Raw genomic sequence first — 24,883 nt, 5'->3', positions numbered from 1 at the left:
TCTAGAATGGGAAACTTAGGAGCCAGTTACAAACTCAGCTCATTTCTTTGCTTGGGATTGTGAACCCATGTTTGAGTTGTTCCTGCTTTTTTTGCTATTATGAACAATGCTGTTATGAAACAGTCATATACAGTACTCTTGGTGCAGGAATTCTGGACAGTATATTCCTAGGAGTTGCATAGCTGGGAAACAGCAGGTGAAATAGTTCCAATTTGTTTTCTTTTTTTTTTTTTTTTGAGACAGAGTTTTGCTCTTGTTGCCCAGGCTGGAGTGCAATGGCATGATCCTGGCTCACTGCAACCTCCACCTCCCGGGTTCAAGGGATTCTCCTGCCTCAGCCTCCTGAGTAGCTGGGATTACAGGCATGCACCATCACACCCAGCCAATTTTGTATTTTTAGTAGAGACAGGGTTTCTCTATGTTGGTCAGGCTGGTCTCGAACTCCTGACCTCAAGTGATCCGCCTGCCTCGGCCTCCCAAAGTGCCGGGATTACAGGCGTGAGCCACCACACCTGGCCTGAACATTTTTAATATGCATAAGAACATCTTTTTAATTCAAATATAAATACATATTATATAACATACTGTCATTTGTGTGTTGTATAATATATTCCTTCAAATATAAAAATTTGTTCTCGCACAAATACATATAACTCATATACTGTCATTTTTATGTTGTATAATATATTCCTTCAAATATAAAAATTTGTTCTCTCACAAATACTTACTGAACATCTGCTATCTGCTACCTATTGATCTAGGCACTTGGGGAAAAAATAGTCCCAAATTCCTGCTATCATGGAGTTTACATTGCAGTGTATATTGGGTGGGGGCAAAGAAAAGTATAATATTGTACATCATATGGTATTAGTCTGGCTCATCCAGAAGGAAGTGGTAATACTACCTGTGTTATGCTGTTTATTAAATGCATATGAAGAACTCGGCACCATGTCTGCTAAATAGTAAGGATTCTGAAAATGCTAGTGGCAATAATAATAATAATAATAATAATATTTCCTCCTTTCTTGCGTCTACTTTTTCTGCAGTAATTTTTAAAATTAGAACTACTGGAAATTTAAGATTAAGATGTTTTTGTTATTGTTGAAGTGTTGGCTCTCATTTGGGTGAACTTGTGGTGTTTTCTGCAACAAACATGACTTTGGCTCATTTTGAGATGTGTTATTTTCAAGCTTCTTAAATTCCAAGAATCAAGAGCCTGAAGACATGCATGTTTTAAAAGCTACATCATGATAAATAGCCACAAATGTGGGAAAATACCTAGGAATGTCTTGTATAATTCAGGACTGTGTTATCCAAGTATAAATGTTGCTTGAATTAATCATTTCAATCCAACAACCAATTTATTGAAAACCAACTATGTGCAAAGTACAGTGTAGAGGAGATGCATATGACCTTACTAATCTTTGAAACAATTATTTGTCCCCTTTTCTTAGATAATGATGTTGAAAATGATCTTCAATCAGACATCAGTTGAGCACTGCAAGACACACACGGAGAAGCAGAAAGAATGCAACTTCTTCTTAATAGCTGTTCGCCTGGCTTCACTGAACCAGATCTTGGATCCTTGGGTTTACCTGCTGTTAAGAAAGATCCTTCTTCGAAAGTTTTGCCAGGTAGCAAATGCTGTCTCCAGCTGCTCTAATGATGGACAGAAAGGGCAGCCTATCTCATTATCTAATGAAATAATACAGACAGAAGCATGAAAGAAAACACTTAACTTGCATGTGCACAGCTTTTGGTAACAAATATCGCTAAACCTTACTGTGAATTTAGGCATCTCTGGCATGCCACTGTTTATGCATTGAAGTGGAATTTTTGGTATAAAGCTAAATGGTCTTAGAAGCATAGAAAATCCCTATGTGCCAAAAGTAGTGAAACACAAACAAAGGAAAATATATTAATAACAGTCTAGTGTTTTTGTTGAGTCTGCCATTCGTAGCTGAATATGTGATTAATTATGTGATGAAAACATTTTTTATAAATGATCTTGGTCTATTGGGGAGCGGGGATAGTTAATATTCCAGTACACTGAATACATGAGGAATTTAACCACATACATCATTGAAGACAAGGGATAGCAGTTTGTTTTTATTCAAAGACATTGCTGTGTTCTCTTTCATTGCCTCTCTCGCTTTCTGTCACTTTTTTCCTCCTTACATTAAAGAAAAGTTTAATTACAGTTAAAAATGTATAATGTATTTATAATATTCATCGATACCATTATTCAAATATTGCTCAATACAGCAAATTAGCTCCTAACCTAACAAAGTTTAAGTTTACTTGGATTGATAATTAGGTTTACTCTTTATCTGAATAAGAACCAATTCCATTTGTTTGAAATATGGAGTTTGTGACTACCCAAATTGCTAATTATTCTTTCTTTTGAATATATTTTACATTTCTATGAGCCTAAGGAAGATTCATGAAACTGACCTATGAGAGTCGTGAAGTGGTTTTTCAGAATGCTATGTAAGGACCGATTTGAGCACTAACTATAGGTACTCTGAATATATATTTCCCTTGATTATTCACCAAAAGTGTTCCCCAGTCTTTGACTCTTTAAATTCCAATACTGATTCCAAAACAAATAAATATTTTGAAGACTCAATGAATACTTTCCATATTTTGGCCTATTTATATAAGAAAGTTAATAACATTGACCCTTCACAGCTCTTCTGCCTGCTCCTCAAAGTGGCTCTATCTAAATATTTATTACTAAAATGTTTTTCCTACAGTCTACATGAATACAAACCTCAATAGCTAAGCTTGACGTATTTGTGCACAAGTAGATCACTACATTAAGTTTTGGGAATTGCACTTCTTAAAAATGTCTCCCCACCAAACATAGTAATCCTGTAGTTATGCCTACACAAAGCTTGCCATATTCTTTGGTGCATTCATTTTGTAAACCCATTAACTTTTTATTGTGAAGATTTTCATTTGCAGTTTCTTGCACTGCTTTTCTAGTTTTTTAAAAGCTTGAGATTTATTTATACTTCTTGTAGTAACTGCATATTTCTGTGTGTGTTTAGTGGTAAAGAATTAATTTTGATAGGTACAATATGTCTATCAGATTGATATATACACCAGCCTATGTCAATTGGGGCTAATTATTTTAAATGACCATGTCAAATTGAATTTGGAGACAAAATCTGTTGAGAGTGCTTATGTAATTAATGATGGTTCTACTAATCTAAATTTTGGAAAAGGTGATAAATAGACTATACTAAAATCTCTCTATGCCATAGAATTGGATTATCCTGTAGGTCATCTCATTGGGTATAAGACAAAACTACCTACTTTTTTTCAAAAGTGCACTGAAATCACATAATAAAGAGGCTTTACCTCTTGGTTGGTCCTGTGACCCTAAGTTCTAGTCAGATAGACACAGAGGCAATGTGAATTTGAGTGGCATGAGCATGATTAGGTTATTCCTTCCAGCATCTAGTATAGCACCTGGAATATAGAAACTGTCTAATACATATTTATTCAGTGAATCAATGAGCAGAAGTTTGCCAGGACAGTACACATTGGCAAGGCACATACCATATGATTGAAGTGCTTCATGCCATTACAGTCCATCAGGCTGATAAAGTGAATTATTTCTGATTATTTAATTACAGAAATATGAATTTATCTTCAAGGGTGTAGTGTCATACTGCTGTACAACACAGTGCTTTATTTATACTAATAATTTAGGAGACTGATACTTCCAAATGATAGTGGACATTACTATCACAAGAATATCACTTTTCATCAAACTGCAAAAATACAGAAAGGCAAAAAACCTGACACTTATTCTTAACTGCAAATTAAATTCCTGCCCAGGGGATATATTTTAGGAGGGGATGAATGGCAGCTTTTGTGTTTTTTTTAACAAGCTTGAAAGGGAGGTGGAAAACAAAGAAATTATGTAAATGGCATATGAGTTTTATTATCTAGGCATTCGTTAGTATGGGGAAACCTGATAAGAAATGAAAATCCCAAATGATTTCAGCCTTTTCATGATGGTTGAGGTTAGATTTCAGAGATGTACAGAGACTAGAGCGGTGGTTAGAAAGAGGATATATGTAGTCACAGCAGAAAGACGTGTCTAAGTTTAATTTTATTGGCTTTCAAGTTCACTCATGTATACTTAGTTTGTCCATACATATGTCTAATCAGGAAAAATGCATGTATAGATTATGACAATTCCTGAATTTTGAAGTATTGGTTAAAAGACAATTAAAGGCCAAGAAAACCATGGTGGAAGAAGTAAGCGAATGAAATGTAGAAATATATGTAAAATTAGCAAGTGTCAATTTTACCAAGTAGTGTTGATTTTCCAAACAATGAATTTATATACTATGCTGAGTCACAGAGAAGAATGATCACATGTTACTTAATGAGAGCAGTTTACTTTTCAAATAAAATAGGTATGATGAATGTCTTAAAAATATCTTGAAGTTGAAGAAACAAAAATGAGTTATCTCAATATTTACCAAGTTAACCTAGTGCTGTATATATCCCAAGATATTTTAGGTAAATGTAAGTGTTTAATCATGCCAGATTTAAACTAGTCTGAAATATAGGGTATACATATATTTCTACTTACATTTCTTTATTTTATGAAATATCCGACCATGTTGCAGAAAATAATGCAAAACCTCATGTAAGTTAACTATGAAAGATCCTGTGAGCACATTGGCATTGAGTGACAGACAAACTAAAAACTGGCAAACAGTATTTTAATAAGGGGGTCACTCTGTGGCAGTATTCTAATATTGGATTTTCAAGTAGATTAGGCTTTTTATTTATTCAACGCTTTTTATAATTTTGTTCTTTTTGACTCCAAATTATTGGTCAGCTTTCAACCTTCTCCACATCAGCAATCACTAATAGTTCTTTTGGTTGAGATCAACTCAGAAAAAGAAAATAGAAAACTTTTGTTCTTTGAAATTTTAGACATGCATAATATCTATTTATTTTCATAATTTAACCCCAAAAGCTTCTCCTGCAATACACAGGATTCTAGGAGCTGAATGACACAGGGAGACTACAGAGTATTTATTATTACAAACACATAAAAAGCCTAACTTGAAGAATTAAAATTTCTATTTTTTATCTGTATAACAAGTACAAACCATCAACAATGACAAATTTTCACAGCTGCTTGTTTATTGCTTGTTTTATATGTTTACATATCTCAAAATCTGTTAAAACTGAGGTCTAAAAAATGTGCAGAATTGTGCAACTGTGGCCTAGTCCATAAGACTTTTCTGAGTTGCAACAAAGTGCTGACAAAGTGACAGATGTCTGTGATGTTTCATGACATAGGTTATGATCGAGCCAATTTACAAAATTTAATAACCAACCTAAACTCACATACATATTTGTTAAGAAGCTGACATCAGTTCAGTATTGTAAGGAAACTAACTAGGTGGTGATGATGATAAAAGAATTAGGGAAAATATTTTATTTGATATATTCCCTTTTATAATTCCTAAAATGAAGATTCTATTTAAGGGTTATAATTTATATAAGTTTAGTCATATACCATTACATTATGATACCATAAGCAGAGTGCATTATGATTCTCTAGAAATATAATTCAATCAGATATGTATTATATTTATTTATGTCACACATTTTCTTTACTGAGAATAAAAATTATCTTATTTTCAGAAGCTTTGTATCAATCAGTTTCATGTAATAAGCAACCCAGATATCTACTAGATTATGTATTTCTTCATTTGAAACTACACTGTTTTCTCCTAGTCCCCTTGACTCTACTGTGCTTATCCATTCTTTCACAGAAAGAAAGTAACAGACATAATTCCTGTTGATGAGGCTGGGATTGTTTTTAAGAGGAGAGATAATAACTTCATATTTTTAAAGTGCCAGTAGCCTAATATGTGAAACAGATCAGAATCTGTTGTGTAGTAAGTCTGCTTTGTTGAAGAATTTATTATGGGAGTAAAGATAAGAAGGAAAGAGATCACCATCAGAAACAAGTCAGCCTTTTCATGCTTTTTTGAGCATTTTTGGAGATGATTCCACTTCTCAAGTTATTATCATTTGTGCATCTCTTCAATGCTATTGTTAAATGCTTTAGAATTAGAATATTTTGATCCTTTAATTAAAGTAAGCCAAACGTCTAGGCAAAAACAGCCAATCATTAAACTTTAATAGTAATTCAAATATAGATTTCTCATACAGTTTTCCATGTCTGTAGAAATCAAAGTTGTAATGTTAAGCAGAGGGAAATGCGTGTGATTTACTAATACACTTCAACGTTCTACTTTTGAAAGGATACTCATGTGGGTGGGGCAGAGAACATAGAAAAAGATATGATGGAAAACCTGTCCATTTTCTACCTGTTAACCTTCATCATTTTGTGCCAGGCCCTGGAAGCAAAGAGAGGAAGGGACCGACTGCATTTATCTTTGAACACTTGAGCATCAGTAGTACTACTGAGTGGCCAGGGGTCTTGTCTGTCAAAGCAAATGATAAGTTCACTCAGGCCATTATTGACTGCTGAACTCTCTTCCTTCCCAACTCTTCCTTGAAAGAGAAAAAAATACTTTGCCTTCTTGCTCTCCTTATCAAATGTTTTTGTACAAATAGTGTAAGCCTGTTTAAGCAAACCAATTAAAATAGGCACTGATTATTTTGATCTGTTTGTAACAAATGAATGTAAGTACTATTTACATGGTGTGCCTAGGAGGAGCTGAAATCATTGGCACTTTAATCCATATTGTAAAGATCAGTATCAAAAGCATAGTGTTCTTCACCTCTCCTCCTCAGCATCCATCTCTATATACTTGATTAAATGGAAAAGTCTCTTTTATCACCTCTATGTAAAGTTTTATGGGTAGTTATCGTCAGTGTATTTAAATATATCTTCTAGTATGTTTTAAAGGCTGGTCTTCAATACTGTGGAGACAAAAAATAAAAGAGCGTATGAAAAGTACGTTAGACTTTTGCTGGCATTCAAGTCATGGCTAGTCTGTGTATTTAATAAATGTGTGTTATTTATGTCGTGTTTGTCAATGGAAAATAAAGTTGAATATTCTGAAATGTCGCTGTGTTTTCTTCCTGATGTCAACTCACGTCAGGAATACTTTACCTATAACTATGTTAAGTATTTTGCTGAAATCCCATTTGATGTGCTTTGTCAAATAATAGCACAATGTAATGCAACAGCCCCATGCTATCTGGAAAAATTAGATCATTTTGTTTTATATTCCATAATCATGTGCATAACAAATTATTGTTGATTTAATATAAATATGAGAGTTGCTCTTTTCCGATTTTCAACATGATGTTTCTTTGTTTTATTATCTCAAGATTATTGTTCTTAACACAGAGTGCATTTATAAATTATTGTAAGCTTAGTTATTTCCCTTTCTTGTGGATTTTGGTGTAATTTACAGGCAGCCAAAATAAGAATTGTCCTTGCTCATAGTACAACCCTTTAATTGACTTGTGCCTGAGTTTTGGTGTGAGCTGAGTATTGGTGGTTATGAATACTGGGATCCCCAGCTATTTGTTCATGTACTTATTGAGGTCACTATTGGTCTTCCTTCTTCAATGAAGGGAGAAGCTCTGTCAAATGTAGACTGCAAAGTCAAGCTCATTAAAAGTATCCCTCTTTCTTCGTGAGAAAAGATATCCAAGGAGAATTCTGTCCCTGGTTCCTCCCATGTGGGGGTTCTAGGCCTAGGACCAGATCTTATTGTCTCTACAATCTTGATTCTTTAGTATTTCAGGATAGGCAGAGTTTTGTTAAAGTATACAAAAATCATAGCTAGATAAGAGAGATAACAGAAATAAGTTCCAGTGTTCTATACTCCTGTAGGATGACTACAGTTAATGCTAATATACAGTTACAAATAGCTAGAAGGAGGCTATTGAATGTTCCCAACACAAAGAAATGATAAATGTTTGAGATGATGATGTGCTAATTACCCTCATCTGACCAGTATACATTATATGTATCGAAACATCGCTCTGTGCCCTGCGAATATGTACAATTGTGATTATTAAAATAAATACATAAATAAAATTTAAAAGTCATTATGACTACTATGGCTATGGCTCACCCGAAATTTCCACCATCATGCTGGTAAACCTACAGGCCATGGGGTGAGACATTCCCCAGTTTCATGTCCTCAGAGGGCATGGGGCCAAATGTCCTTGGGGCCAGTGTGCTTGCTAGTACTAGCCTTGAGTAAATCCATTCTGGATGGATGTTTGTCATGGAGAATTTAAGTCACTTCTGCAGGCTTGCTCTTTCCTTCAACATATATTTATTGCATACCTATTAAGTGCCAAGCTCTGGTAGGTACTAAGACCCAAGAATTAATAAAAACAGCAAGCTCTCAGTGAATTTATAACCTGGTAGGGGAACAGGAAATAATCAGAGCTGCAATTAGAGTAAGCACATGGTATCATGAGAATACATGGAAACGTGATGCTAACATGGGAGGTATTCCTGTAGAAGGTGGCATTTAATCCTCATTTTGGGGAAAGGAATAGGTGTTAACCTGTAAAGGAAGGACATTGTAGGATATTTTTTCACTTCACTCTGTCCAAAGCATTACAGTTTCCAAATCTGTCAAATGGACTAAACTTTAGTGGTCCTGTGGGTAGTGTGGCTCTACATAGATCCTTTCTATATAACCTCTCAGGGTCATCAAAGTGGCATGGCTTTAGGGCAGGGTTTCTCAACCTTGGCACTATTGACACATGGGACAGGTAATTCTTTGTTGTGAGGGCTGTCCTATGCATTGTAGGTTATTTCCCAATGTCCCTGACTTCTACTCATGAGATGCCAGCAATACCTCTCTGATGTGACAATCAAAAATATTCACAGACATTGCCAAATGTACTATGGGGGACATAATTGCCCTCAGTTGGAACCACTCCTTAAAAGCAAGGGCCAGGGCCACTAAACAGGTGCTATGTACCCAAGGGTTTGAGGGGTGAGGCCATCTGTGGGGCCTTGGTCCACATAGGCACTGTTCTGGCATTTCCTGAAGCAGCAGGTACTAGAATGCCAGTTTGTGTCTGACTGCACAAAAATGTGGTGCTGCCACTACAACAATGCCTGGATCACCACAGGCCCTGATCAGCTTCCATAATCACATAAACCTATTCACAGATGATTAGGCACAATTTCTTAGAAAGTATCATCTTTCTATTGATGCCTCCAATCTCTATTCTCTTTTTGATAAAAGGAATTAGGGTTTGTATGTCTCTCAAAGTGATACCTAAAGTGAGTCTTTGTCTCCAAAGACCTTTAAAAAATCTGTTATAATTCTACATCTTTAAGTACACATTTCCAGACAATTCTCTCCGAAGGAGAAAACTAATTTATCAAACTATTTCCTTAAATTAGATGTTTGCATATTTAGTCTGTATAACAAAGCTGCAGAAGCTTCATTTTATCTGAAAGATGATTTTTATCAAAGAACAAATATTGGGCAATGTCTCTTGATGAGCCTGTGACTTTCTGAGTTCATGCCAGTCTTCAATTCCTCAGGTCTAGAGTTATTATCATACATTTTGATAACAGAGTTCAAGTCATGATCTCTATAACTGACACTACTGAAACCTATTGTTTGTATAAAATGGGAAGATGGGTTTACCTACCACACTGAAAATCAAAGTCTGATAAAAAAATACAATTAGAATGAGGGACCTAATCTGTTAACCATAAGTTTCTGAGGCCAAGTTACAAAAGACTATGGATAATCAGTGTTTATGCATAATATTCTTATGCAATTTTTAAAAAGAAGGCTTTGAATATAACATACAAGGTTGTTTGAATCTGATTTTGCAAAGAACATTGAGAGAAAATAATTCTGAAATCCACAATTGAGGCTGTTTTAAGTGATATTTAATTAGAAAGAACATTGGTTCTTAATTATTTTAGGATCAACGACCCTTCTGAGAAATTGATGATAGGTATGTGGTACTCCCACAAAAGGTGCAGAGGATTTTTGCACAGTGTCAGAAATTGTACAGACCTGCCGAAGTCTATCTATAGACCTCTTCGGCATTTATGCCCATAGGTTAAGAAATCCTTCTGTGAGAGCCTCTATGATTTAAGGAACTGCAAAGCTTTCCACGTTTGGTTAGGAAACTCAAACCTAAAACTGGAACTAAGTCAATGTAATTACTTCCCAGTGAATGCCAAAATTCCTTGACATCTATCTAACGATATGTCCATAACAGTAAATCAATGTAACTGGAGGTAGAATTATTATAAGGAACTGCAATCATTTTTCTCTAAAAGTTGCAATCATGTGATGATAAGAAATAACACAATTTGATCTGAGAGGAGCAATATAGGTTACTCACCCCAAAACAGGTTGAAAAGTGAAAGACCCATTTAAAAAAAATATTACAAGTTATCCAAAGATGCATTTGCCTTACAATAAAGATGTTGTTTTAGTTTTGCCTTGTGCTGGCCCAACAAGAGAGATTTATAATGTAGCTATTTAAAAAATCAATAAAAATGTCATCTACCCACCTCCCTGGAAAAATGTAATCTCCTATACACAAGCAAGCTACATGGTTAAAATGTAACTTCATGATACTAGGATATATATGTAGACACATATCTATTTATACTTCTATAGGCACTAAATTTGTGCATTGCCATTCAGAGTGCAAGTGGCAGGGATGACCTTATTGATTGAACCTTTGAATAAGAAAGCAAGGCATGCAGTCACAGACCGTCTTACAAATGTATAATTAATAATGGTTTAAGCCAACTTTTAAAGCTATTAGTAGAATCTTACTGATGTTTATGGTTTGCATTTCTCTGGAGGGAAAAATGCAGAGCAATTAATGACATGTATTTTTGCATTTGTCTTTCCTTATTAAAGAAGATGAAAATGGAATCTTAGAGCATTGAAGTATTTGTCAATCATAAACAGCTCTTTGATACCAAAGCATCCTACATTCTGGATGTATGTGCATGAATTGGACAGATACACAGTATGTGCATGACATTACAAGTTGATTTTAATGAGTCAGCAGTGGTCTGTGAGTTGGAGTCTTCTTCTTAGGAGATCCAGGAGGAGCTGTTTTTAGAGGAAAAGCAATTGTCCTTTGTTAGTTTCAACATTTCTTGACCATTTAAATTTTTTGCCCAACCCTTTTATTTTAAGAATTAACGGGACAAAACGGGTTTTTACTTGAAATATTTTGGAGAAATAATATTGGCATATCATGAAGTGTAATCACTGCCTTAAATGTTGGGCAGCTCTAATTAGATATGCATGACTCTTATCCCTGTCCGAGATTTTCTCACACCATGACCGTTTTGAATATCCCTGTGACTATTCATTCAGACTATTAATAATCCAAAGCTGAACTAATTCATTTATTTTGGCCATATGTAATTTAAAATATTTTAAAGTATATTTTAAATACAGTCATTTTACAAAAATGCTCTCTAAAGTTTTGTGTGTCATAATGAAAGAGAAAATGTTCTACATTGGACAAGGAGCCAGAACACCTTGGTCGAATTATTTGATTTGTTATTTACTGGTTATTTGCCCTTGACAATCCATTAAATGTCTCTGAATCAACTTGAATTTTCTTATCAGCATAAGATTGTTACAATTAAATGAGATAATGAAAATACAGACTTTTTTTTTAAGAGATAGGGTCTTACTCTGTCCCGAAGGCTAGAGTGCCATGGTGTGATCATAACTCGTTGCAGCCTCAGCCTCCTGGCTTAAGTGATCCTCCCACCTCAGCCTCCCCAGTGGCTGGGACTACAGGCATGCGACACCTCACTAGGCTTATTTTTTTTATTTTTTATTGTTTTTAGAAACAGGTCTCACTGTGTTGCCCAGGCTGGTCTTAAACTCCTGGCCTCAAGCATTCCTCCTGTCTTAGCCTCCCAAAGTGCTGGGATTACAGGTATGAGGCTTTGCACCCAGTAAAGACACTTGAAAGTGCTATACAAGTGGTTAGTGTTACTTTGTTATATTCATTTCATTAATTGAACAATATTAGAAAATTAATTATGATTGTTCTCATCTCATGTTTACTACAGACTTCCCAGTTTAGTATTGGGCAATCGCACATTCACCAGAACACACAAGTGACGTTAGAAAGCTGGTTCTTGTCACAGACAGGATGTGTGAACTTGGGAAAAATACACAGCTTCTTTTAGGCTTAGTACCTCATCTGTAAAATAAGGGGATGATATTTCTATGTGGTATCTTCTCACTGAAAAGCCATGATTCTCCTTTCTCTCTGGAAATGTCATGAAGGTGGTCTTGTCAGCTAAACACAGATAAGCTTTTCTCTTCTGAGTCCTGGAAAACAGCTCACAGGAAAACTCTAGGAGACAAAAATAGCAAGACTCAAAAGTATAGATTCTTTTTTTCTCCAAAAAGAAATTTCAGGTTCCCACTCTTTCTCCTGAATGAGATGGATTTCTTTTCTCAACCAAATTGCAAAATCCTTGAATACAGGTACCATGTCTTCCATTTGTTAAGATTTTCTGCCTCCTTTTGCTTTACTCTTCATCCTAACTGCTAAATCCTATGCCTTTAATTGTTAAATGATGGATATTCATTTATTTGTGGCTAAGGAACTCTTGTAACAAAGAGTAAGTTACATAGATTTTTATACACTTGTGCTTATTTGTGTGTGTGTGAAGGAGCAAGAGAGATATCTGTTATACCTCAAATGTGTATTTCTTTTCTTAAGTTTTTTCATAAATTTTTATTAAAATACTATGTGCATCTCTTTAAAAAGTCAAATAGTGCTGAAAGGCTTATCATGCATGAAACCCACAGTCCCCATTCTAACCCTACCCCTAGACCACCTGCTTTCCAGTGGCTACTCCTTTCAGCTTATTTTTTCAATGTTTTTTCTAGCATATGACACCATAATTTTAAATAATATATTGTTATCTCACACTCAATCAACTTTATAGACATTATATGCTGATTTTCTATTTTGCTGGATTTAGCTCTCTCCTCACCCATTCTCCCATTATAGTTATAACTGACTTTCATTAAATCAACATTCAATGTTTGCATTTTCATGATAATGAAAATATCCTTCACTGAGGAATCAGTAGTACTGTAATTATGTTTCTTTTCTTGAATACATTTCTCTTTTTTTCTAGAGTTACGAACTCATCAAGTTTTGAATTTGCTTAAGTTTGCTTTGGAACAGTGGCTAAATCTTAATAGTCTTCCAAGTGCCCAAACCTATCTGATAATCTTTACCCACTTTGGGAGTCTAACATTTTTCTGGTTTTCTCTGCTATTCATCCTTTTGCCTCTTTTATTTATATTGATAGTCCTTTGTCTAGATCCCATGTCTTCATCCTTCTTGAATTATTCACTCATTTTGACCACATCTGCTTTAAAATGAGCTTCTTAATAGTAAAGGATGTTAAGTAACCAAACTCCCAGAAATGGAAAGAGAATGCTTTCAGGGACACATGAACACTAACAACGTTTTAAAGAAATTTGAACTGGTGATAATGACCATAGTGGCAGATACCATTTTATGAGCACCTACACTTTTCGTATGTTATCAAATTCTCATGTCAATGACAGCAGGTAGGTGTTATCAGCACTTTCCAGATAAGGAAACTGGGGTTTGTGGAAGAAAAGTCACTTGACCAAATACACAACAGTTAATGAGAAATAAAGCTGGGGTTCACACCTGACTTGGGTTTAGAATATAATCATGTGTTATCCATGAGCAAATAATTACTACTGTGATTAGTTTCAGAAGCTTCAAGTTTATCTTCGAGGGTTTGTTTAAAACCCCATGGAAGAAAGGCTTTGACTCTATTATCAATGTCTGGACATTTTCAAACCACCAGAAATAATTTTGGGGAGCAGTGGTGAGGCAGCTTTTCTAAGAGTGCTGATTAGATTAAGCAAACAAGATTCTCAGCAAAAAATGTGAAGGTCCATATGTCCAATCTAGGTGTGTGCACATGACTGCAAACATTTAGATCCTTCCTTGTTTGATCCAGGACCACTTCTGCAGTGGAGAAACTATTGGTTTCCTGGCAGCAGATGGTTGTACAGAAAAACTGCACTTCTACTTCCACACAGGCCTGTGGTTTTTGCTAAAGCCAAGAGTTTATCACAATTTGGGTTACTAAGAATACATCTCTTTTGGCCCTATTGGCTTTTGTCTCTTTTTTTATTTTTCCTTTTACCCGTCCTCTCGGACTTGTAATTTGGGAGAATGCTTACTGAAAAGCAGAAGATACTTGTGCTTCCTAGTTACAGAGGAACTCCTAAGAGACTGTAGAAAATTCAGGACCTAGGGCAGACCATTTGTCATCAGTGAAACTATTCTGATTATCATCTCTCCCTGCTTAATTTTGAAATTTGCTTTAGCTTCTTCTGGTAAAATACAATGCAGTTTGAGTGGAGCACATTTTGTCTTTCAGAAAGAAAAATTCTTGCCCCCTGTTTCTGAGTTTTCCATCCCTTTCTGCTAACAGGTGAAATCTATTTGATGCATTTGATATTTTATTCATTCACCAGTTTTCTCTTCAACTGACTGCTCTCTGATTTCCACAGAACTGATCAGACTGATTAGAACTGTGCAAAACATTTTGTTCAAGGAAACAAAATCTCAGCGTCTCCAAACTCTAATTCTATTATTATCACTAAATGAATTCAGAATGCAACTTATCCATAGATATATAAAGTGGAAAAATTTGTACATCTTGATGTTTATCTTTAGTCTTATTTTGTACATTGTCTTTTGAATATTTCAATGTAAGTGTGACAATAGTCAACAGTTCTCAGGCATCTCTGGGGTCAATTGACATTTATTTGAATGAATTCAACCCGAGTAGCTGGGACTACAGGCGCCCGCCACCACGCCCGGCTAATTTTTTGTTTTTTGGTAGAGAAGGGGTTTCACCGTGTTAGCCACGATGGTCTCGATCTCCTGACCTCGTGATCCGCCCTCCTCGGCCTCCTGAAGTGCTGGGATTACAGGCGTGAGCCACCGTGCCCAGCCACACGCCAGATTTTAAATATGGTACTTATCCACCGTCATCATAATAAGCACCATCGTCGTTCCCTGTGCAAAATTTTCATAGATGTATCGAGATTCAAGCAAAACAGTAATTTATTTCTGAGTACCTCAGTTCATCTCTAGCTGTAAAGTCACAAACAGAACTACCAGAGAATTTCCGGACTGTGATGTATTTGAGAAATACACAATTAAAAGGGGCATTAAATCAATTTGAATTAGGATGGAAGTGATTCTTTTCCTCTTAGTACTTGGATTCACAGCAGTAACAACTTGGTTCTTAGTGGAGCTGTTACTTCCCAAGTGATGACTGTGTCTCCAAGTAGATTTTGACCACCAATTAAATGAATGATTTGTTGATTTATTTAGTCATATTCACATTTTTAATGAGCTTCTATCATGTGGGTCTAGGTTGTGGGGACATTGAGGTTTATCACTTGCAGATTTCAGATTTCAGATTCTCTCATTCTTCAGAGCGAAGTCTCAGTTTTCACTGATTGCATTTAGGACTTAAATAGCTTTCCCAAAGTGTAAATCGCTCTACATTTTCTTTCATTGTAATTAGAATATATATTCATGTATAAAATTTAAGCAATACAGGAAAGCACGAGGACCAAAGAAAAATTCCCTATACTTCACCACTCAAACTTAATCATTGTTATGGTTTTGATTAATATTCTTTCAAATATTTGTCTTTGTAAATTTCCCTTCAAACCTGACTGCATCTAAGAACCATGGTGAGATTCTCTCAAATGCATGAAGGAGTGTCACATTAAATAGAGATTTATTTCATATGCCCTGAAGGGCGGACTAAGAAGCTACAGAGAGAAAGAGTCTGACTTAATCTAGAAAGGTGCTAAACCAATGTGCCCTAAGGTGGCAGGGCTGACCTTAAGCAATAATGAGTTCCCTGTCACTTCAAATATTCAAGCACATACCAGAAAACCACTAGGGAGTTTGCTGTAGATGGATGGAATACAAATATCTTCTTTAAGTCTTCTTCCAACTCAGGATTTTATGATTCTATGTCTCAAAACAGTCATACTATGGCTACAATATTGGAATTGGTGTAAAAGACAAAGATTTGTCTGAATATAGCTGCTGAGCTTAGTGTTCTGCTTTCAACCTCTTCAGATGTGGCTTATATTCTGCTTTATGTGTCACTAAATGCATTGTTGTTGACCCTAATCTCAAAGCTAGAATTTCATGATTTCTATGTTCACTTTATCAGTTTACAACATTTTTGGAAAACTACTCATAAAACAGCAAAAATGTTTTTTTAAAAAGAGCTACAGCAATTACTTTCCAATAATTAAATCAGAATATCTGGTGGTCATTAATAACAATTATAATTGGATTATTGGATTGACTTCATCGAATATGAAAGTCTGCCAACAATATGAATTTGATCAAACTCTGCTTATTATCTATTCTGATCATTTTTTGCTATGTGTAAAATATACACATATTTCAGAAGAATAAATCTATCATGAATAACAATCACCAAATTTTTGTACAATATTATCTAACCTGTTATGTATATATTTTTAAGTTTCATAACCAAGAGAAGAGACGTATACTTTATTTATTTACTTATTTTATTTTTATTTTTTGGGAGACAGTCTCCCTCTGTCACCCAGGCTGGAGTGCAGTAGTGCAATCTCTGCTCACTGCATCTTTCACCTCCCAGGTTCAAGCTATTCTCCTGCCTCAGCCTCCCAAGTAGCTGGGATTACAGGCATGCACCACCAAGCTCAGCTAATTTTTGTATTTTTAGTAGAGACAGGGTTTTATCATGTTTGCCAGTCTGGACTCGAACTCCCAACCTCAATTGATCTGTCCTCCTCGGCTTCCCAAAGTGCTGGGATTACACGCATGAGCTACCACGCCCAGCCAAGAAATATACTTCAAAACATAGAAACAGGCCAGGCGCAGTGGCTCATGCCTGCAATCCCAGCACTTTTGGAGGCCAAGGCGGGCGGATCACGAGGTCAGGAGATCGAGACCATCCTGGCTAACATGGTGAAACCCCGTCTCTACTAAAAACACAAAAAAAGGCTGGGCGCGGTGGCGGGCGCCTGTAGTCCCACCTACTCCGGAGGCTGAGGCAGGAGAATGGCGTGAACCTGGGAGGCGGAGCTTGCAGTGAGCCGAGATCTCGCCACTGCACTCCAGCCTGCGCGACAGAGCGAGACTCCGTCTCAATAAATAAATAAATAAATAAATAAATAAATAAATAAATAAAAATACAAAAAAATTAGCCGGGCATGGTGGCGGGCGCCTGTAGTCCCAGCTACTCGGGAGGCTGAGGCAGGAGAATGGCATGAACCCACGAGGCGGAGCTTGCAGTGAGCCGCGCCACTGCACTTCAGCCTGGGTGACAGAGGGAGACTCCTTCTCAAAAACAAAAACAAAATAGATACAAATGATTCAGTAAATGTTTAGGGAAGATTTTAAAGTTTAAAATAATTATAAGGAACCAATACCATTACTTAAACAGGGAAGTTTTTTTAAATCAACAGTAAAATTATTCTTAAAGACATTATTTTGTCTCAGAGAGTAGGATAGAATGGGTATTTTTTTTTTAGGTAAGTCAAGCCTAATTACTACTTAACTATTCAACCTAATTCTTAACAGGATTAGAAAGAGTTACATCTCTTTTAAAGCACAAAAAACCAGACACTCACATCTTTGTTGGAAATGCTGAAATTTCTGGCATCATTAATTGTTCCCTGAAGACGTCATTTCAGTGTGCCACTGTAAACTCCAAGGTTTATAGCATCATCAATAAGGAAGGCAATGAGTAGCCTTATGGAAGGGATTTGGGGATTTAAAGACATAAATTTGAAGTATGGTTCTTGACTTACCAGCTGTGTGACTGAGTAGGTTTTAATCTCTTTCAGCCTCTGTTTACTCATCTATAAATTGGAGATAACAACACCTATTTCACAAGATAGCAAGGAAATGAGATAATACGTATATATAAAGCCCAGTAGGAATGCAATCATTTATAGACAATATTAACATCAAATAACACTAATTTCCTTTCCAGAACTATATTTAGGAGTTATATTAGTTGAATAGTGATAAATGTAAAATAATATTAATAGTGAACACTTATAAAAGTATTTTGTACTTTCTAAGGCATTTTACCATCTGTAGTTTTATTTGATCAAATTTTTAGTTAGCTAGGGAGTGTTGTTATTATTCCTATTTTATAAATAATTAAATTGAGATTAAGACATATATCAAAACATCATGTTATTACTATAATTTTTACTTGTCAATTAAAATAATTCTAAAATTTTTTTAAAGAAAGACTAAGACTAGGTGTAGTATTTGGACGCTAGAGTGAAACTTCAGCTCAAATATCACTTTCATACTTTCTTTAGAGTGAGTTTCTTACTCCTTCTAATCTCATTTTTCTCATTTGAATAGTGGAGATAGTAGAGTGTCCTAGACTATCTATTTCAAGAGCAGAGACTTAGAGTGTCCTTTACTACTTCCCCACTGCCCACTGTACAAAGCCCAAAAGCTTTAACTTGTTCAAAGCTCTCAGTAAACCAATCCCAATCTACCATTCCAATTTTTTTCTGGCAACACTGATACCAGCCTTTTTTGAATCCTCTCCCCAAACACATTATGCACATTCACAATTCTGTTTCTAGTGTTTACTTTGCTTAAATGTTAATTTCAATGAAGAAAATTCTGCTCATTCATTAAAGCCCAGCTCAAATGACACCTACCCTAAGAGTTGTTTCCTTATGCCTGATTCAGAATTACTGATTCCCTCTTTTGTACATCCATAAACACCTCATTTATGCCTCGGTGATTACTTCTCACTGCTCTACTTATATTACAGTGAGCTGTGGGTGATTCTAGCTCCCCCACTGGATGGTTACCTTCTTGAATGAAAGACACATCATTTTAATCTTAGTGTCCCAGTCCCTCCCACTTCCTCTCCTCCCCAGACCTTCAGCTTCCAAGAATGTGAAGGCTTTGAATTATAGATACACAGTAGACATAGAAATACTTATTAAATTGATTTAAATGACCAAAAAAAATAGTACAAATAAAAAAAAGGCAATGATGTCCCAGAAGAGGTTTTAGTTTATAAAAATTAAGTTTTGGCTGGTCGCAATGGCTCACGCCTGTAATCCCAGCACTTTAGGAGGCTGAGGGGGGTGGATCGCAAGGTCAGGAGATCAAGAATATGTTGGCCAACATGGGGAAACCCTGTCTCTACTAAAAATACAAAAATTAGCCGGGCGTGGTGGTGCACACTTGTACTCCCAGCTACTCCGGAGGCTGAGGCAGGAGAATCACTTGAACCCAGGAGGCGGAGGTTGCAGCGGGCCAAGATCGCACTACTGCACTGCAGCCTGGGCGACAAGAGTGAAACTCTGTCTCAAAAAAAAAAAAATTAAGGTTTACAGACTTACCACATTGATAGATACAGCATACACTACATGTTTCCGTAAATAGTTAACTATAATTAGGGACTGAAATTAGAGATAATGGCATCCAAACTTTTGGCATGCTTGCTATTCACAATGCCTCTTTTTCCATCCCGGTAAAGGTCCCTTGGTGTCACCATTGGAGAGAATATTAAATTGAATGAACTACTAGTCTTAGTGGGTGCAACACTTCTTACGTTCTTATATTAAGTTTCTGAGGTGATATGAAGGGAAGACAGTTTTTGATTAATTCAGATGTCTGCAATGGCCCTAGCTGGAGAATGGCCAGGCTGAGAGGTGAGCGGCCAGGCTAGAAGAGAGAAGGGTAGCTGTGGTTGGCAGGAACAGAGCAACTGGCAAAGAGCAGAGCAGCCTTTGGCCGCAGGGTCTAAACCCACATCCTTGCTCCCAGCCCTTTTGGTAACACAGCTATGAAGTCAGAGGCTGATAAAGAGTGAAAAAACACTTTCCTTCCAAGAACGAAGAGCCTTTGAAGAAAACTTCTGACCACCTCCTTTTGGGGCACAAGGAAGTTGAACAGGGTTTTGATCTGTTCACATTTAGAAATTCTTTTTGCTTCCTGCCATGTGTTCATATCACTAGACTGCAGTTTCTCCATCAATTCTTCTTATTGTTCACTGCATCCCTTATTCTTTCACTCACTCGGTTTGCATTCAGCTTCTAATTTCTGCTTATTACTATACTTAACCACAGTGGGGATGCAAATGCCCTCGAGGAGCAAAGAATGCAAGTAACACATCTCAAAGACTGGAAAACTCCAAAGCACACCTGAGCAGCCTCCCAGTCATTCCTGAAAATCTTTCTTCTGAGCTCTCCAGAGACTACAGAGCTTTTTGTTATTAACCCTCTTCACCTACACCTCAGTTTTGTTAATGGGCTGCTGCAAAAGGAGAGCCTAACATGGTTAGACATTTTAGCCTAACTGTACAAAATGTAGACTTCTGCCCAAGACCAGTTCACTTTTCAATACTTGGTGAATTTCTCAGAAAATGAGTATAGCATGATTCCTCTAGCTTTTAGGGTGTCATAAGCTCTATCGCACAGACATATTCACCCATGTCCCATGTATACACATGCGCTTTATAAAGCAAACCAAAGACCCAGGAGTCTTGCGCTGTCTCTCTAGAAGTTTTCCCTTTAACAAGGACACCATCTGTGATACATCTGCTTTCTTAGTGGGGGATATGTAACAAACGTAGGACAGTAATACTGAAAAACAAATGGTTTAAAGATGAATGTGTTCCACTATGCAGAAAAAGAGAAGTGAGGTTCATAAGAGAATATCTGGAAGTGGGAAGAAAGTAAGTATATCCAGATCTATATCTAGATATACTTGTTAGAAGAGGGGGGAATTTAACATTGAGGGACCTCATATCTAATTTTATTGAAGAAGAAAAACAAGGTTAATTGAATTTATTTTCAAGTATCTAATGAAATTAATCTCAAAAAGTTCTACCCAGGGCAATGTTGTTATAAATGTTTTGGGTCTTAGTTATACTGTTGCTATAGTATTCAAATTAGCATGGATGATCATTAATCAAATGCTTCGAAGATGGTAGTCACTGTGCTAAGTGCTTAGAAGCTGCATTTCTCATCTCTGCTTCTCAGAGGGAAATATATAGTGTAGGGTGAGGCTTTAATTAGTATCTTTTATTTGGTTGAGCCCTAAAGGAAATCAAGTAAAATGATGAAATCGATGTCCTTGGTTGCTCAAGTGTTGCCTCTTTTCTCTCTGTAACACTAGGCTGTTTCCACCTGAGTGCATGGTAGAGAAAAGAGCACATTTTGAGACATGAAGCTGCTAGGTGTGTCTACACAATTGGTTACATAGGGTCCTGTAGCTGAAAGAAACAGTAGAGATCATTGAGTCAAAAGGAGTTCAACTGGTTCAACAGAGCGCTATCTTTAGTAAGGGGTGAAGGGTTCAATTTTGAACAACATGTGGGTCGCTATAACAGCAGCCTAGGCTCAATATCTCCCTTTTATCTGTTGTGTATATCAGGCTTTTAATTAGGATTTCATTTAAAGAAATCGCTCTGCTTCCAAAAAAACAAGGATATCAACCACAAATTCAGTTCAACTGAGAGAGTTTAAGTGGCTTGTTCAAAGTTGCATAGCTCCTTAGAGGCAGAGCCAGCTCTAGAACTCGGGCCTTCTGACTCCCAGACTAACTTCAGCCTTGATGCTGTGTTTGACAGCTATCTGGATGAATAAAGAGCAGGGATTCTGGAGCCAGACTACTTGGGTTCAAACCCCAGTTCATTTACTTACTAGCTGTGTGACTGAGGGTAAATTACTCACCCTCCTCAGGGCTCAGTATTTTCATTTGTAAAGGTATTAGTACTTTCCTCTGGGATTACTATGAACATCAAATGAGCTAAAATGTGTAAAGCTTTTAGAAAAGTGCTTGATATTTAGTATAACCAATTAAATATAGCCTATTATTATTGTTTAAAGGGTTTCCAAAAGCTTTCCTAACCTTATAGGATCCACCATAAGACCTATAATCTAAGAATTTTCATTTCTTTGAGCAAGGACACAAAAGGCCCTTCTTAGAAAGTAAATGCATTATCTGAGTAATAACACAGTAAATCACTGTCACTCTCTCATATCTCATAAATAATTATTTCCATTACCTCTAGCCACTTAGTAAGGCCATAGAGGAATGGGACATAGAACAGTTAAGCCTTAATGATGAGTTAGAGTTAGGATTTCTTTGGAAAAACCTGGGAAAGACACGAAGGGCTGGGAGGGAACGAATCTCAAGAGAAGACAGACACCTGAAGCTATTGTAGCCCATTTCAAAATTCTCTTCTGGGCCCACCTCAGAGACTGAGGCACGGAATGCATCTCCCTGCAGTTCCCAGAAAGGACTGGTGTCAGGGTCTCCTTGTGCTCACTCCCTAGAAACCTTCCCTCCCTGTCTCACTCCACATATATTCTCTATACCCTAGTATTCTGGCTCAGAGAGTGTAATGAAAGTAGCAGTGGAAAATTAAAGAAAGAAAGCAGGCTCATAAGGGAAGACTGAGGGTTTGGAGAGGAGAGGATAAGAGAGGAAATGTCTCACCAGTCAGCCTCGGGGATAGTGGGCAGAGAGTGAGTAGGGTTTCCAAGAAAGGAGCAGTAAAACCAAAGTGTAATGTGCACAGGCCAGCTCCTCTTTCTCCATGTTTCCTTGGACTGTCAAAAGTGTGAGGGTAGGGCCAAGCCCTGAGTATATATCCTTGCAGAGTGTCTTGTTTTTCTAGATTGTATTGGAGAGTGGGAGTTCTAATGGTATGTGTGTGAGTGTCTGAGAGAGAAGAATTGAGTGAAGTTTAAGGTTAGGTGACTTTTATTATTAATCAAATGGAAGCCCAAGGTCAATGAGAAGCACATTGGAAGGAAGCCTATGAAGTGAATGACGTTCAGAAGGCAGTTCTCAACAATAAATTCAAATAACCTGCTTTCTTTTGAGCAAGAAATTAAATGTTACCTTCACTATTTGTGAAACGGAATTGTAGCATTTTTCATTCTGCTCCAGGTAAACACAGATAATCTAGTGTTTTTATTGCCATTAATATTAATCTCCATATTATATGATTGTGGAGTGGTACATATCAGTTAGTTAAATATTTTAGTTCCAGCCAGGTGCAGTTGCTCATACCTGTATAATCTCAGCACTTTGGGAAGCTGAGGTGGGAGAATTGCTTGAGCCCAGAAATTCAAGCACAGCCTGAGCAACACTGTGAAACCCGATCTCTACAAACATAAAAATTAGCCAGGTGTAGTAGTGTGTACTTGTAGTACCAGGTACTTGGGAGGCTGTGGTTATGCCACTGCCCTCCAGCCTGGGAAACAGAACAAGACCCTGTCTCAAATATATATACATGTACATACATGTATTTATATGTGTACATACATACATGTATATAAAATGCATATATGTGTATATATATGTATAATATATGTATATATATATTATACATTGATACATATGTATAATAGATATAATATGTATTTTATATATATATATATGTGTGTGTGTGTGTGTGTGTGTGTGTGTGTGTGAGACAGTCTCGTTCTGTCGCCCAGGCTGGAGTGCAGTGGCGCAATCTCAGCTCACTGCAAGCTCCGTCTCCCGGGTTCAAGTGATTCTCCTGCCTCAGCCTCCCGAGTAGCTGGGACTACAGGTGCCCGCCACCACGCCTGGCTAATTTTTTTTTGTATTTTTTAGTAGAGAGGGGGTTTCACCGTGTTAGCCAGGTTGGTCTCGATCTCCTGACCTCGTGATCCGCCCAACTCGGCCTCCCAAAGTGCTGGCATTACAGCCGTGAGCCACCACACCCAGCTGTATGTGTATATATATTTTCACATATGTACACATACATACATGTATTGTATATCATGCCCAGAAGCTTGATGTGTATATACACACATCCATACATGTATGTATATATTTTCACATATATATTTTTACAAATACATGTATATATGTGAAAATATATATGCATGTGTGTGTGTGCGTGTGTGTGTGTAGGTTCCATTGACTGGTAATATGTTTTTGATAATTCAGAAGGCACTTCAATATTTTGTAAGTCCAGGGGCATTTTTACTACCATTGATAACTGGCCAATACTATCAAAGTAAATGCTGCTATGTGAAATGTCTGGATGCTTGATTCTGGGTTGAAGAAATTTTACTGCATATAGCACTTGGATTTCAATCAGCAAGTGACATATTCTAACTGCACAGCCTTCTATAATTTGTTAATAAATTTATTTTTATTTTCAGTCTCAGTCCAAGTGCTTCTCAGCTAGTTTCAAAATAAGCAGTTATGAGTTAGCCAAATACACATTCTCAATAATATTGTTTTAGCTAAAAATATTTGCATACATGTAGCTCATGAAAACTCAGACATCATAAAAATAAAATTATCCTGCAGAACCATGAAAGTGAGAAGGTAGAGAAAATAAGTTAATGCAGGCAAAAAAGAGTCCCTTTTAAAAGGTAATTATTCCAGAAAACTGAAAACAGAGTGCTTCTCCCAGTGAAACATAAGTGAGCACCAAAATGATTTTAGTAACAACAATAACACTTTGACATACATTTATTTTATTTGATTATCCCAACTTCCCTGCGTAGAAAATGGAGCTGCTGTTATCATTATCCTTATAACCAAGCTTTATAAAATTTAAGCAACTTTCCAGGTCTGTAGTGAGTTAAGTAAGCTTCAAGCATTCTGATTTCTGTTCTGAGCGCTTTCCTGTGCCACTATCTGTATTGTAAACCCGGTAGGAGGGCAGAGCAGATTTTTATTACACAGTAGTATGATACTGTGTCACCTCTCCTCTTTAAGAATGTCAAAA

The 24,883-nt window shown here is 36.6% G+C and overlaps 1 protein-coding gene across 12 annotated transcripts in view; it reads left to right on the top strand.

Annotated features, from left to right (window-relative positions):
* The window catches only part of PTGER3 (prostaglandin E receptor 3), a 195,459-nt gene that overhangs the window by 33,878 nt on the left and 136,698 nt on the right, over positions 1 to 24,883 (top strand). For 11 of the 12 annotated variants that reach the window (NR_028293.2, XR_946714.3, NR_028294.2 and 8 more), the window contains exon 2: positions 1,455 to 1,634. Coding sequence is in view for 8 of the 12 variants with exons in the window: in NM_198717.2 (NP_942010.1) it covers positions 1,455 to 1,634 (180 nt within the window). In the remaining 4 variants the exon portion in view is untranslated. Of the gene's footprint in view, positions 1 to 1,454; positions 8,080 to 24,883 lie in introns of those variants that run through there. The other variant, NM_198715.3, reaches the window with a different exon arrangement.

The sequence above is a fragment of the Homo sapiens genome, chromosome 1 (genome assembly GCF_000001405.40).
Source record: "Homo sapiens chromosome 1, GRCh38.p14 Primary Assembly".
NCBI lineage: Eukaryota > Metazoa > Chordata > Mammalia > Primates > Hominidae > Homo > Homo sapiens.
Note: the sequence above shows the minus strand (reverse complement) of the source record. Positions and strands in the feature narration are given on the sequence as shown.